Genomic DNA, 17,046 nt, shown 5'->3' with positions numbered 1-17,046 from the left:
GGCAGTTAGTGAGAATAGGTGATAGAGAATCTTGTAGGTGCTGCGTGTACCTTGTTACCTGTCTTAAAGCCTTGAGCTGACATTAAACTTACTGTGGAGAGAATCTTCTTGTAAGTAGATTGCTCTAAATGTAGGTTTCCCATTCTAAGTATGGTCATGCCTTTATGTTAATCTCTATTAGATATTGACCTACTATTACGTGAAAAAACTTCGGTGAAATGTTATTAGACTTATTCTATATAGGGCAGGAGAAGAACATCTTGCTTTTTTCCAAGGACACCTGGAAAATATTCTTTGGAATTTTTTGTATGATGACCTCCACTTTACCAATTCAGGCAGTGCCTGCCACCAGGTGGAGTGTGGCAATTGATAGAGCTATAAGTAAATGTTTATGGTAATCCCACAAAGCATTTGTTTTCTTGTTTCTTCCCCACCACTCTCCCTCTGGTTAGAAAGAGTGGTTTTCTGTCTTGGAGTAGGTGAATATATTAATCAAAAGAATAAGGTGATTTGCAGTTGATATTTCATGCCAGTGACATTTTATTGAGGATTTTTGACTAAATAGTTCTCAATAACTGATTTTTATGTTGTTACTTAATGTTATTTAGTGAAATAATAACAATGAGAATAATTCATTTCTGGAGATTTTTTATTGTGTTTCTATTGTGTTTTCATTTAACTGAGGGGAGAAATAAACTTTGAGAATTATGTGGAAGAGATATGAATCATTAATGTTTCAGAATAGAATCATCTTCCAAGCTGAGTGAACAACTGCTTTATATTCTTCCCTCCTATTCTTATGCGTCCCCATCTTGTCTTCTCCACAGACAGGAGGTATTTTAGATTAGGGAATTGCCAAACTAAAATTGGGAGGAGGTGGGATGGTGGAGAACAATTTGTAAGAAAAAATATAAACAGAGTCGGTTAGTATGTATTTGGCTCTGAATGTGATTCAGTTCTCTAAAGTCAACATGATGTGTGTTAGTGAAAGTGTTCTAGCTTTAGAATTCTGTTAGCGCTGAGCCTCCTTATAGTTTCAGGGTTAGTTTGACAAGACGCCAATGAATGAGTCACATTTGCTGAAAAATTCACGTGTTCCAGCAGGGGAAGAAGGTGAGAACTGATTAGTGGAGTAGGGGTTGGGGGATGCTGTTGCAAAGTTAAGATAACTTAAGACTACATTTGGGGAAAGTGGGACAATTTTTGGAAATTTACATCTACTCGAAATTTTTGTTTGTGAGAACTAACATAGATTTGGTTTATTTGTAACTTTTTATTCTTTAATCTTTTTTCTGTTAGGGACCTTACTGAATAGAAAATTGCAACTATCTATGTTAAGACATTTCATCAAGTGGCAAGCTCTAATTGTTCTCTGAACTAAGTTTGCATTTCAGAAACTGGAATTTTAAAAAATGTCTAACATCAGGAAAACTTTAGGTATACAAAGTAAGTAAAACTAGAGTTAGAAACTGAAATCCAGTCCTGCAATTTTTATATTTCCTTAACTGTTAAAACAACCTTCTTGATGGAACAGAAAAATATCATTTTTAGGTAGGCTAATACTTGAAGGAAGCACAGCTGTAAAGTTCAAAAGCTCATCCGTCCTCAGACTTATTTTCAACATGTGATATTACTCTTTAGTTTAGAATAGTTTTATTGGCCAGGCACGGTGGCTCACGCCTGTAATCCCAGCACTTTGGGAGGCCAAGGTGGGTGGATCACCTGAGGTCAGGGGTTCGAGACTAGCCTGGCCAACGTGGCAAAACCCCGTCTCTACTAAAAATACAAAAATTAACCGGGTGTAGTGGCACATGCCAGTAGTCCCAGCTACTTGGGAGGCTGAGGCAGGAGAATTGCTTGAACCCAGGAGGTGGAGGTTGCAGTGAGCCAAGACCATGCCACTGCACTCCAGCCTGGGCGACAGAGCAAGACTCCATCTCAAAAAAATAAAATAGTTTTATTTTAGAACAGTTTCCTAATGCTATATGCCTTCCCCCCTCCCGCCAAAAGAGCCACTTATCCTCTGGCAGAACCTAACCAATTTTCCTTCCACTTTAATAACTAAAATCTGAATTACCTTATCCGTATGACTGATATTTTAAGTTAACATTAATTTTTTGTTAGAAAAATTTAAAATACAGAAAAGTTTGAAGAATAATGTCATATTTCACACTTAACCCTTTGTCATATTTGCTTCTATTCTTTTTCTTTGTGCATTTTTCTGTAATCATTTTTTTCAATATTTATTAGAAAACTTTAATTATACAAATAATGGACTCATATATTCTCTTCTTTTGTTTTATTAAAAAAAGTTGCATCTGACAACTTTTTTTTTTTTTGCATCTGACAAAACCATTGCAGATAGTCACTATTTCTTGCGGTAGACACTAGTTCTTATTCACTGTTGCCACTTCAATCTTTGATACTTACTCAGTTTCTCCCTTAAAACTATGTAATCGTATGCTCCATTTGGGAAAATACAGCCTTTAGTGAGCATCCTTCATGACTAAAACTCAGTGAATTTCACTGAATTCTTGGTTGGAAGGGTCTAGTGCTTTTAAAGTGTAACTTGAGATTTCTGAAAGAAACTCTGGCAGATTTCAAAGTCAGCTTCTTGACCTGCAGGGCTTCAATTTGTGGCTGACAGTTTTAACTCAGAAAATCCCTGACTTGATTGGCTACATAAATTATATGTTATATAGCCATTAAGATCATGGTTTTGGAAAGTATTTTAATGATACAGGAATGTGCTCTGAAATAATAAGTGAGAGTATACACAACTTTATGTGCATTACAGTCCCATTTTTATGTTTATTTTGTGTATATATGTATGTGGGCGTGTAAACGTATGCAAAAACAGTGTCAGTATAAAATATTGGAAGGTGGTTAAGTTTACAGGTGGTTTATTTTTTCTGTATACTCTTATGTATATTTTCTAAATGCTCCACAATAAATTACGTTTCGCTTTTAGGATCAGAAATAGACAAGAAATAAGATTTAAAAAATTTTTTTAACATCAAGCTCTTGTCTGTTTCAGGCATAGTTCACATTTAAAAATCTAATGACATTCTTCTCATGGTATTAAATATATGAACCACTCTAATCAGAGAATCCAACTTTTTTTTTTTTTTTTGAGACGGGGTCTCGCTTTGTTGCCCAGGCTGGAGTGCAGTGGCGCTGTCTTGGCTCACTGCAAGCTCCGCCTCCTGGGTTCACGCCATTCTCCCACTTCAGCCTCCCAAGTAGCTGGGACTACAGGCGCCCGCCACCACGCCTGGCCAATTTTTTGTATTTTTAGTAGAGACCGGGTTTCATCATGTTAGCCAGGATGGTCTAGATCTCCTGACCTTGTGATCCTCCCACCTCGGCCTCCCAAAGTGCTGGGATTACAGGCGTGATGTAATGCTGAAGTGTGGAAGCAACTATTAATTTATTTAACAGGATTCACTCTCATTCTCACTCCCCACACCCTGATTTTTTGATAGGCATATGTGATCTTTTATGGAGATATTCTGATATGGAGCCAAAGCACTTAGTTGCTCTAGTTCTCTGCTTTCATTTTGCTTTCTTGTAGAGGCAATCTTAACATTCCGAAGTTTGTTGCTTGTTACTGTGGTGCTTCAGGGTTAAGCCATCGTGGTTGCAGCTTCGGTTTCCCCAGCCTGAACAGTTTGCTGCCCTATCTCCCTTTACCTGGTGGCCTCCTGGTGAGGTTTCATGTCATAGCTTAAATGTCACTTCCTCAGAGGAGCTATCCCTGACACTCCTTCCACTAGTCAAAATCAACTGTTTCTATTATTATCTCACATTGAACCATACTTTTCCTTCATAGTTATTCCATTTAGACATTCAGTTGTGAATGACTGAAAACCCAAAATGAAAGTAATGTAAACAGGGAAAACTTAATTTCTGTCTCATCTAAAAGTTCTATAGGTCCCCCTAGGGCTAGGGCTGCTGAGAGTGGTTCCACGATGTCAGGGAACCCAGGTTCCTCCTATTCTGTTGCTCTGCCATTCTCAGCATGCAGCTTTCACATCATAGTCCAAAATAGCTGCTCCATCTGGTAAGAAGGGGGAGAAGCAACAAAGAGCAAGCCCTTTATTTTTTAAGGATGTTTACTAGAAGTTGCATGCACCACTTCCAGTTAGATCCCATGGGCCTGAACTTAGTCATGTGGCCCCTGCTAGGAGCAAGGAAGTCTGGAAAATGTAGGTAGTTTATTGCTGGTAGTCATGGCCAGATAAAATTCAAGGACTATTACTGAGTAAGAATTGGGAAATAAATACTGGGAATAATTAGCATTTTCTATTACAGTAGCATATCTGTATCTGTAGGATTACTATTTTTTAAATATCTGTCTTCCTTATTAGATTGTTAGTTTCAGGAAGTCAGGGAACGTGTTTGTTTTATTTGCTTTTTTATTCCTAGTATAATATTTAGTATAATATTTAACATAGAATATTAACACAGAAGAGGCACTTATATTCTTTAAATGAATTATTTTATCCACCCGATCTTTTGCTCTGCTTATATTGTAATTTTTTTATAGAACGGTGTGTCTTGCTTTTTATGCTTTTTAAACTAACTTATGAAAATCTTCTTAGATTTTTGAGTGTTCTTTGAGAACATGATTTTTAACAGCTTTAAATATTAGCATAATTGGCTATATCATGATTTTTTAAAACTATTCTTCTCTTGATGATAGGGTGTTTCCAGTTTTTTTTTTTGGCTATTATCAATATTGCTTTGATAGATATACCCTTTTATATGAATGCGTGTTTCTCTCTGATGGTCTTAGGAGAAATTCCTAGATGTGTGATGACTGGATGTGTTGGTCACCTATTACCCTAACAATTCTGCATCAGAAACTAGTGTTTTATTGAGTGGCTTTCAACACTGCCAGTACTTATACCTAACTGGTCAAAGATTTGATTATCTCTTTAAGAAAAATAAGCTTGATGAAGTAACTTACACTTTAATAATGTGCCATATTATTATAGGGCATTTTACCTAAGTGTTTATTTTCACACTAGGTCTGTAGGTCATCTGGGGTTCTCCTAATCTAGGCTGTACTTGGCCAGGCACCTCTGCTTCAGTTTGTGGGCTGGCTGAACTTGCCTTTCAGGCTGCAGGTTTGGTTAGGTCTACTCTAAATGTGTTTATTCTGAGGCCTTGCATGAAGGGACAGCAGCTACCTGGGGCGTATTCATTTTGTAGTTTACCTAAGAGCACAAGAAGCAGGCCAAACTACTAAAATAATTTTAAGACTCTGCTGGCATCAGGTTTGTTAACATCTCATTAGCCAAAAGAAGCCACATGGCCAAGCCTTGCAAAGTTATATGACAAAGGGTGTGAATGTATAATTTTAAAACAGAGAGGATATGGAAATTGAAAACAGTAATTCATCTACCGCACTTAGTCTAAAAGTATAAAAAAAACTTTTGCTACATCAAAAAAAATTTTTAACCATGTATCTCCAAATAACCCCCAGAAAAGGCTATATCACATTAATAGCATATATTGATAATAAGTGATTTTCCCCATGAGATACCCTGTCACAGGGGAAAAAAGCACTCTGCTAATTTGGAAGATGTATTGATATGCATTTGATGCTTATCAGGAAGTATATTTTTCAAAGAATTTGCCGTTTGTCCATGGCACAAGTCTATTGTAGTATTCCATAAATTATCTTTTGGTTTTAAATTTTGTTGTTCTTTCACACCTTCTTCTATTTCTTTTTACTCCTTTTTAGAGAGATAGACCCTTCTGTAGTCTTTGATCTTTTCTACAAGTTTCCTTCTCTGACTCTGTTTAAAAATTATAGTCACCAGGCTGGGTGCGGTGGCTCACGGCTGTAATCCCAGCATTTTGGTAGGCCAAGGTAGGCAGATCACCTGAGATCAGGAGTTCAAGACCAGCCTGGCCAACATGGCGAAACCCTGTCTCTACTAAAAATACAAAAATTAGCTGGGTGTGGTGGCGGGCACCTGTAGTACCAGCTGCTCAGGAGGCTGAGGCGGGAGAATTGCTTGAACCCTGGAGGCAGAGGCTGCAGGGAGCCAAGATGGTGCCACTGCACTCCAGCCTGGGCAACACAGTGAGACTCGTCTCAAAAAAAAAAAAATTATAGTCACCATTTCTTACAGATCTTTTCAATATAATATTAGATGAAATACTTTTCTGGGTTTAGTAAGTTCATCTTGCCGTTTATGGAATCATTCTCAATTTTAAATTTGAATATATTTTAATACAAGATTCTGAAGCTTTTGGGAAAGAAGTTTCTGTCCCTCCTATAACTAGTTATGTTTCTGATCTATAGGACAACATAATTTAAGCTAATTAGGTAACTGAAACAAAGGACTGGGTAGGGATGGGGGAACCAGAAGTTTGATTCTATTCCTGACTCTGTAATAGACTTGTTGATAGATTTTAATTATTGAATAACTTAATATGTCTCTTTCCATATTCGTGGAATGTTTGGATTATGCATTGAGGAGTTAATGCACGTGTATCCATTGAGTGCATGGAGTTCTTTTGTAGGTGAGTTCTGTTTAAAAGGAAATTGTTGGCTGTAGTCATGGTGGTTAACTTCATCTCATATGTAACACTTTCATCTTACGTGTAAAGTACTACTTTTCTAAGAAGCTTAGAACATTTAACATTTAACTCAATCACAAGTGCATCATTGTGATACATAAACTGAGATGTGGGCTTTATGACTTAACCATTATTGTATAATTTATCAGTATGAGATTCAATACTAGAATCCAGATTGCTGTACTCTTCATTCAGTTTTATTTAGTAACTGTAGACCTTTATCTATCAAATATTTTTTGAAATAGGACATTAGGCAAAATAATTACATTGCCTTTAGGCTTCATTACCTTGGAGTCAAATAAGTAAGTTAGATCCTATAGTCCTTGTGTTGGTTACCTGATATATGACTATCTCCAGCCTCTAATACCAGTTACTGTAAAATGTTACCCTCCGTGGTTCACAGCCAAACTAGTGTGACTGGCACATCACATTGGAATTTAAAATTATTGTCTTAGAAATCTTCTCATTGTGATGGAAACCTGACTTTATCCAGAGCCTAGGAATTTCCTAAGATTTAGTCTAGTTCATCCCTCCTGTGTAATATTTATGTAAAGCCATTGGTCCAATTGTTTGTTGAGTTTATTGCCACTTGTGTACATCAGAGGACATCAGCTCCTCGTTTTCATCAAATACAGGAAATGTAATATTTCAAATTTCTCCTGGTGAAATCCTATTGGCTTATATTCAGCCAAGATGAGATGAAGGAAAGGCTCAGAAATAACTGGCTGCAAGTATGAAAGTTCTGAAGATCGAGAGGTTGTATATATGTAGTGTGACTGTGGTTCCCAGTGCTGTATTATCTGCTCTCCTTTTTACCTGTCTTCTTGGAGTGTGATTGTGTCTGTTGCTGCTAGTTGTACCTAAGTGGTCAAAGATTTTACTATCTCTTTGAGAAAGAGATGCTTGATTGAGTAACTTATACTTTAATAACGTGCCACATTATTATAGGGCATTTTACCTGAGTATGGCAGAGGAAATCAAGTCAGTTGGTTACTTGTACCAGATGCATCAGTTTGCTGAGTTAAGGCAGAGCAATCCTCTTGTAAGTTTATCCTAATAACGTATTTTTGGTGCTGGCAAATGGAATGACTTTTAAAATTCAAATTGAATTTCTTAGCCCTTGTCATCAGGTGTTATATATGTTGACACTGGGCTACTAGAATCTACTGACTGGAATCTACTGTATTTTTTTTTTCCACTTTGCTCATCTATTGCTTAGCTGAGAGCAGTTGCTTCAAGCTATGAATATCAAATCAAAGGCCAAGTTTGTGGAATGTTTTTCAAGCCTGTGGTATCTGTCTTTTTTCTTTTGCATAGAACATATCTGTATTTCAGAATGTTTAGGGACTCTTCCACTCTTTGGAGAACGTTAATTTTTGAGTGATAGGCAGTGTGAATAACGAATGCTTTTTAGGAGCCAATATAACTGACACCACCTCTCTACTATATCATGTGCTTTCAAATAATGTGCATATATTATATATATGTATGCTTTCAAAAAATCCATTCCCATTTATTCCCTTTTCTCTAGGATCTGTGCTTTTCAGACTTCTTTATCATTCAGAGTCTGATTCATCTGTTTTATTCCACATATATTTATTGAGAGTTTACTCTGGTGAAAGGCATGATACTAGGCCCATGGAGGATGCAGAGAATGAAAATCTTGGCAGTGTTACTTCCATGTGACTGGTTATGACCTACAAGGCATTCAAGCTCATTAGCACTGATACCTTTAGCAACTCATTCTCATACATACCCCATAAATTCTCTGCTGTCACCTTTACTCCCTGGGCTCTCTCAAGACTGTGCCTTCTTCACACATCCTCTTCTCTACACCTGGAATTTTCTTACCTTTTTACCTGATTAATTCCTATGTATCCTTTGAAGACTCAGCTTAAGCAAGGTCTTCTATAAGCTTTTCTTGACTTCTTTCTACCTTCCAAGCAGAGTTAGACACTCCTCTTCTGTGTACTCATGGTACTTGGTACTTGTGCCTACTTTATTTGGCGCTCATTGTGGTACTTATTTGCACTCATCAAGTTGTATTGTAATTATTTGTAAGATCCTCACAGGCAAGGACTGTGTCTTGCTCACATTTGTACCCCTCAAGTCTAGAATGGTAGATGAGCAGCAAGTGTTTTTGAATGTTATTAATTCATTATGCCCTCAGAAAGCTGGTAAGGTGGCCAAGGATGTCCCTACCAAGGGTTCACCATCAAAAGAAAATTCCCATTTAAATGATTCAATTCAGTTTTTTTTTTTTTTGTGGGGGGTGGAATATTCTTATTATTATTTCCTACTTCAGTGTTTTAGGAGAGTTCAGTGCCATTATTAACTCTATTCCAATTTAGAGCAGCTTTATCTTAGTTTCAGAAAAGGACAGTTTTTATTAAGTGAAGTTGTATAAACTAGTAAATGAGTCTGGGGCCACCAGTTTGAAAACTTGATACATCTAGAAACAAGTCTCTTCTGCAATGTTACTACGTCACTTACCTCAGAAAACCCTTCATTTTCTCACTCATGCCCGCCTCCCCATTGAACTCATACATACCTTACCCTCTAGACTTTTCAGATACTTGTTATGCTGTGTCGTTTCTTCAACCTGGGATGTTTTTACCTGTCTTCTTTGCATAGTGCAAACCTAGGGTCACCTTATACCTTTCTTCCGGCAGACCCCCTTACAGGACAACATAGTACAGAAATCCCCACAAAAGAAAATTTGAAAACAAATGTGATTGAATCAAGGTGCATTAGTAAGTAATACATAAGTAAGTAATACATAAGGTGCATTAGTAAAGAATACATTAGCTATATATGCATATTATGGAATAACATGTAGCTGTTAAAAAATAATGAGGTGCTTAACTGAATGGAAAGATGAATAGAAAGTTAAAAAAGCAAATTGTAAAACAGACATACGGTATAATTCAGTATTAGTTTAAAATGCAAAATACTAAAAAACTGTGTTTGTATTTATGCATTCATGGTCATTTATACTTGAAAATGCATGGGAAAAAGTCTAGATTATCTAGAATTGTTTACACAGAACCATTCACAGTGATTGCCTCTAAGAAGTGAGGTTCAAGAGAGCTAGCACGTTTAACTTTATATATGCTTTTGTTATTTAAATTTATTTATTTTTATTTTGTTTGTTTATTATTTTTAGAGGCAAGGTCTTGCTCTGTCGCCCAAGCTGGTGTGCGGTGGTACAATCATAGCTCGCTGGAGTCTTGAACTCCTGGGCTCAAGTAATCCTACCACCTGAGCCTCCCAAGTGGCTGGGGCTACAGGCATGCACTGTCACGCCTGGCTAATTTATTTTTATTTTTTTAGAAACAGGTTCTCATTTTGTTGCCCAGGCTGGTCTTGAATTCCTGGCAAGTGATCCTTCTGACTCAGCCTTCCAGGTAACTGGGATTATAGGTTCAAGCCACAATGGCTGGCTGAATTTATTTTTTATAAGGAACACATATTAATTTTTAAAAACTGTTGAGGTATACCATACAGATAAATATCTAATATATATTTATATGTATGTACATATGGCTCAAATATATTATTACACACTGAAACCACTAGGTAACTAATACCTATATCAGTAATCAGAATATCACTGTCACAACATAAATCCCTTCGTCCTTCCCCAGTTCACTACCTCCTCTACCAGAGAAACTACCTTTGTTACCTCTAACAGCATAGACTAATGTTGCCTGTGTATCAAATAAAATAGAGCCTACTTTTTTCTGTCTGGCTTATTTTGTTCAACATGTTTATGAGACTATATCCCTTTCTTTTGAAGTAGTAAAAAACTTTTTACTTGGAAATAATTACAGATTCACAGGAAGCTGTCTTTTGAAATTTTAAATCACTAAAGAAAAAAAGTTTGTCATCTCTTGGATGTGCCCGCCCTAACATCTCATGGCATAGTCAGGTGGTTTCTCTTCTGTGAGCCAGTAGCTCCTTGCTCTGTGACTTTTGTGTAGCTCTTACCACATATCTTTTAACTATTTGTTTGTGTGTCATTTCTTCCTCTCTAGATTGTGAGCCTCTGTGAACTGTGATCCCTTCACCCTTATACACCCGCTTTATACCCTAGTGCTTCACACACAGTGGCGCTTAAACAACTTTTGTTAAAGAAAAGGAGTAAATTCTAGTCCTGGCTGTGCTAGTCACTGACAGGCTTTGTGTCCATTGAATTTCTCTGAGCTGGTTTCCTCAACTGTAATATAGATGTTATAATTGTATCAGTACAGATGCTTTTAGCTGTAGTTTAGTTGTAGTTAGAAAGTCCAACTAAAAGTGGCTAAGATAGTAAGTGAATTTATTGATTCAAATAAGGAGAATTTGCTAGAATTGCTCAGTTCAGCAGCTCAGCAACACTATCAGGACCCATATTCATTCTGGTCATCTTTCAGCACTGCCATGCTCAGCATGTCGGCAACCACTGCTGTTGTCATGGGATGGCTGCTGTGGTGCCAGGCTTTACATCTTCACACATCAACATCCTGGGGCAAAAAAGGACCATTTCTTATTAAATATCTCTTTTTATGATTATGGAAAACTTTAATTAGAAGCCTTTCAACAGACTTTGCATCTCATTGACCACAGTTCTGTCATATGCCAATGCCTAGTTCCTGGCAAGAAGGAGGAGTCCAAGACTGATTTGTGTCCTGGAGCTGGAGATTTTCTCCTTGAGCATTTGGAAGCTAGATACCTAAACAAAACTCTTTTTTGTTATCAGGGAAGAGAAAGGGTGGAGAAGAATGGATATTCAAGAAAGTTAACAATGTCTGTCTCTATAACACTTTCCTCTACTAATGTAAATTAAGGATAATGTATATCTAAAGGTATATGCATGCTGAAATACCATGAAGTTATAATACATCATTAGTGCTTGTTACTGGCTCTGTGGATTATTTTAGAAAAGTCTCCCTTTGCCACCCTAGCTAGCAGCCTGCTTTAGGGCTAGGAGTACAAAAATAATTTTACTCTTTGCCAAAGCAATACATTATTAGAAGGGTAAATCCATTACAGAAAATAATGTAATTTATTTCAAATGTGAATTATAAATTATTTTTTAATTTTTTGGTATTTAAAAATTGTCTATAAACTATCATTATCGTTGTTGATATTAATATGGTGTTTTGGATTTCTCCTTTTTAAAATGTTGAATATGTTAAATGACAGGCCAAATCATATATTCCTTCACTTCTTTTTTTCCCCAACAGATTAGGGTATAAGAACCAGACAGGAAAAAGAAGTTTACTCTTTAACTAGTATCTTTTTATGGTAGCTGGTTAGATGGGAGGCTGTCCTGCAAAATTATGTTTTCAGAAGATATGTTTCCCAAAGTTGATTTACTCCCAAGTTTAGGAAGCAAATGTTTGTGTGAATCAGCAGGGTTTGGCTAACCTCTCTCATCCTAGCTCTATCTGAAAAGGAGAGAGGGATTCTTAGTTTCTCTCAGTGAAGCACCAAACATTCCTTTGCTCTGAGAAATGAGGCCCTACAAGTTTTCAACTAATCTGTTCAGTTGTCACCTTTTCTCCTGCTCGCACCTCCATCGCCTTTTAAAAAACCCTCCCACTTTGCCCAAACAAATTGTATCATTTTGACCAAGAAGAATATTAAAGATAGAGATCAGTTCTGAACTTAATTTTCCCTATGAACAGTGAATGATTATTACTCATCTGCTTTTATCTAGTGCTTCTGTCATCTAATATAGGAATTGGGGAAAAAATTAACAACTCCTTTCCTGTGGAGTCAAGAAGCACAAATGAACTTACCCTGAAAAGTTCTGTTACCTGAAGGAAAATAATCAAGTGAAATTGGGGGAGGGTGTTAATCGACAGAACTTGAAATTTGTTTTTCTGAGTATGTGATTTTATTTATTAGAGATTCTAGAAGTTTGTCTTGAAGTTGAGACAAATTCACATAAGATTTTGAGTTAATCCACCAGTGCCTTTTAATTATAACATTTATAAACATCTGTCATAAAAACTGATTTCTGCTTATCCTATGATGTGGGTTCATCAGATGAAACAGTATTTGCAGGTTATCAAAAGTGCTGCCCCTAAGCCTCATCAGTTCCTGCTAATAGCTGATAAAATTATATATAACTCTTTAAATTTCTAGTATTCCTTTTTATAGCTTCCCTTCCCCTAGCTCTTACTTGCTTAATTATATACTTTATGGGTAAAGTGGTTTTAGCCATTACTTCAGGGTATCCTTCTGAAGAGAAATTGATTAGTTCTCCAAAAATGGAAAGACTAGTATGATTCTGTAGGGCAGGGATTGGTAAAACTATGGCTTGAACCTGGGCAAAATCTGTCCTGCCACCTGTTTTTGTAAAATTATTAGAACACAATCACACTCTTTACATTTACATATTCTCTATGACTGACTGCTTTTGTGCCACAATGACAGAGTTAAGTAGTCGTGACAAAGACAGTATGGCCTTACAGTAGTTACTATCTGGTTATTTTTAGAAAGTTTGCCAATCTTACTCTAGAGAAATTTAACCAGAGAGGCACTCAACTCAGAGATACTAGGCATCATGTAACAGCCTTGGGCAGGAGTGAGTGCTACACTGTATATAGACTGTATGTACACTGAAAACAGGGTATATGGTGTATACAGAATAGTAAGAGCTCCTTCTCTTATAAACATGCCAGCCCCCCCGGCGAATTCAATTCATTTTGAACACCTCATTTTTTTAGCCACTTTTATTTTTTATTCTCTTCGTCTCTATTCCTCTCCCCACTTCTCTCTTATAGGTTTATTGAGTCATAATTAATGTAAAATAAATGATACACCTTGAAAGAGTAATTTTTGATGGTGTGAAACCGTCATCACGATCAAGATGAGCATATGCATCACCTCTGAAGTGTTCTTGGTCGTCTCGCTCATCCTTCTGTCAATCCAGTCCCCAGGCAAACACTGGTCTGCTTTTTGTAACCCAGTTTTTAGCTGTTACAAATAACATTAATTTGAACATTCATGTCCAAGTCTTTGTGTGGAGATCTGCTTTCATTTCTCTTCAGTAAATGCCTTAGTATGTCTGGGTTGTATAGTAGGTGTGTTTTTAACTTTTTAAGAAACTGCCAAAATGTTTTCCAAAGTGATTGTACTATTTTACATTCCTTTCAGTAGTGTATGAGAGTTCTAGCTGCTCCACATTCTTAGCGCTTCAATCTTAAATATGAACATAGCCAAGAATCACTAGATATTTAAGGGAAGCTGCTAATGTGCAAGTCAGAACAGGCCAAGAGAATTGGAAGGGACCATTCAAAATAACTATAAATTTAGATCCCTAGATCCGTAAAAGAAGATATTGCATTAGTGAAACAAGGAGAGGATGCTAGAAATAAAGGAACAATTAGAAAACAGAAACAATTCTTGATTTAAAAAAAAAGGTTGGAAAACAAAATTGGAGTTGTTTCTCAATAAATAGATGGAAGAGACAAAGGGGGATAGACAGTAGAATAGAGAAAAATTTTAAGAGGGTCACCCAGAAAGTCTCATGCCTGGCTAATAAAAGTTCTGAGACAAGGGAACAGAGAAAATGGAGAAGAGAAAACCAGCCAATAACTAATATAAGGAAATGTCCCACAACCGAAGGGCATATAATTCCAGATTAATAGAATCCACTGAGTGCCTAAAACTGTGAATTAAAAAAACCCCACACCCTCATACCAAGGCACAACGTGGTGAAACTTTAGCAAAACAAGAATAAAAGATCCTAAAAGCTTCCTTAGAGGAAAAAAAAAAACAAAACAAAAAACAGTTGCAAACAGGGATTGGGAATCAGATGTCATCAGACTTCTCAGCAGCAACAAAGAAAGCTAGCAGTCATTGGAATGATGCTTTACAAATTCTGAAAAGCAGTGATTTCCAGTATAGAATTCTATACCCAACCCATCTCTTGATCAAGTCCGGGGATAGAATAGAGACATTTTAAGACATGCAAGGTCACAAAACTTACCTCCCATACATCTTTTTTGAGGAAGCTATTGGAGGAGGTTCTCCATCAAACGAGAAAGTGAACCAATAAAGATGAAGGCATTGGTTCCGAAAACAGGGAATTCAGTATCAAAGAAAATCCCATTTGATGAAGGGAAAAACTTAGATAATTGATGTACAACAGGTTTAGAAAACAGCCAGTTTAGGTTGGACAGGAGGATGGAGGACTTAGGAGAAACAAAGCTAAGAAAGTGGACCAATATATCATACAATGTGTTTTGAGCCATTATTGAGAGACATTGTATAGTTTCTTTGGAAAGTATGGGAAAGAATTAATTGTAGGAATATAGAAAACCAAGCAAATGACAAAGCAAGTCAATTTTAAGTTCCAGGAATAGCAAAATGTTGTACAAGAAGTATAGTTGTCTCACCAATTAATTAATGTTATTTATATAATAATACAAGCCTTAAATATGGGTTTAATCATTAAAATGGCAATAACGTCCAAAGCAATTTACAGATTCAATGCTATTCCTATTAAACGACCATTGAGGTTCTTCACAGAACTAGAGAAAACTATTTTAAGATTCATATGGGATCAAAACAGAGCCTGAATAGCCAAGGCAATTCTAAGCAAAAAGAACAAAGCTGGTGGAGGCATCATGCTAACCGACTTCAAACTATACTACAGGGTCACAGTGACCAAAACAGCATGGTACTGGTACAAAAACAGCATAGACTAATAGAACAGAATACAGAACCCAGAAATAAGACCACACACCTACAGCTACCTGATCTTTGACAAACCTGACGAAAACAAGCAATGGGGAAGGGATTCCCTATTCAATAAGTGGTGCTGAGATAACTGGCTAGCCATATGCAGAAAATTAAAACTGTAGCCCTTCCTTACACCATATACAAAAATGAACTCTAGTTGGATTAGACTTAAATGTAAAACCCAAAACTATAAAAACCCTGGTAGATAACCTCAGCAATACCATTCAGGACATAAGCATGGGCACAGATTTCACGATGAAGGTGCAAAAGCAATTGAGCAAAAATTGACAAATGGGATCCAAATAAACTAAAGAGCTTCTGCACAGCAAATGAAACTATCAACAGAGTAAACAGACAGCCTACAGAATGGGAGAAAATGTTTGCAAACTGTGCATCTGACAAAGGTCTAATATCCAGCATCTATATGGAACTTAAACAAATTTACAAGAAAAAAACAGTCCCATTACAAAGTGGGCAAAGGACACGAACAGACACTTTTCAAAAGAAGACACACATGTGGCCAACAATCATATGCAAAAAAGCTCAACATCACTGATCTTTAGAGAAATGCACATCAGAACCACAATGAGTGGTTAGAATTTACTTAGAAATAGTCTCTTTTAATATCAATGAATTCTTAAGTAAAAAATATTATTTTATATAATATAACATAATTTTATATGAGTATGTGCTAAGATTACAACTTGTTTCTTGCCTTTTTTTCTTTCTTAGAGCTGTAGGAGGAGACTAGAATATTGGCATTAGGAGTTGAAGTCCATCATTTCTTTAAACATTTGTTTTTCAAAAGTTTATAAAAGTAATTCATGGTTGGGGTGTAGTGGCTTATGCCTGTAATCTCAGCATTTTGGTAGGCTGAGATGGGAGGATTGCTTGAGGCCAGGAGTTTGAGACCAGCCAGGCCAACGTAGCAAGACCCCATCCATGTTTTGAAAAAGTCATGCATGTTTATTTGGCAAATTCAGCAAAGAGAGAAATCAAATTTAGCTGTGATCCTACTTCCATGTTTTAGATCCTTTAAGTCTTTTTTTCTGTTCCATAAATTTATATTAAAAAATAAAATGGGCTGGGTGCAGTGGCTCACGCCTGTAATCCCAGCGCTTTGGAGGCCGAGGTGGGTGGATCACCTGAGGTCAGGAGTTTGAGACCAGGCTGGCCAACATCGGCGAAACCCCATCTGTACTAAAAATCCCCCAAAAATAAATAAATAAAATCAGCTGGGCGTGGTGGTGGGTGCCTGTAATCCCAGCTACTTGGGAGGCTGAGGCAGGAGAATTGCTTGAATCTGGGAGGCAGAAGTTGCAGTGAGCCGAGATTGAGCCACTGCACTCCAGCCTGGGCAACAGAGTGAGACTCTGTCTCAAATAAATAAATACTAAAATGGAGGCCAGGTACAATGGCTTATGCCTGTCATCCTAGCACTTTGGGAGGCTGAGGCAGAAGGATCCTTTGAGGCCAGTTTGAGACCAACCTAGGCACCATGGCAACATCCCACCTCTACACAAAATTTAAAAAGTTAGCCAGGTGTGGTGGCATGTGTGTAGTCCCAGCTACTTGGGAAGCTGAGTCAGGAGGATTGCTTGAACCCAGGAATTCGAGGTTACAGTGAGCTATGATCATACCACTGCACTCCCATCTGGGCGACAGTGGAACCCTGTCTTTTAAAAATAAATAAATAAAAAAAATTGAGAT

The 17,046-nt window shown here is 37.0% G+C and overlaps 1 protein-coding gene across 55 annotated transcripts in view; it reads left to right on the top strand.

The window, feature by feature from the left end:
- The window catches only part of PHF21A (PHD finger protein 21A), a 192,136-nt gene that overhangs the window by 44,994 nt on the left and 130,096 nt on the right, over positions 1-17,046 (top strand). The window lies entirely within an intron of this gene.

This window comes from Homo sapiens, chromosome 11 (genome assembly GCF_000001405.40).
Source record: "Homo sapiens chromosome 11, GRCh38.p14 Primary Assembly".
Taxonomy (NCBI): Eukaryota; Metazoa; Chordata; class Mammalia; order Primates; family Hominidae; genus Homo; species Homo sapiens.
This window is presented reverse-complemented; position numbering and strand designations above follow the sequence as displayed.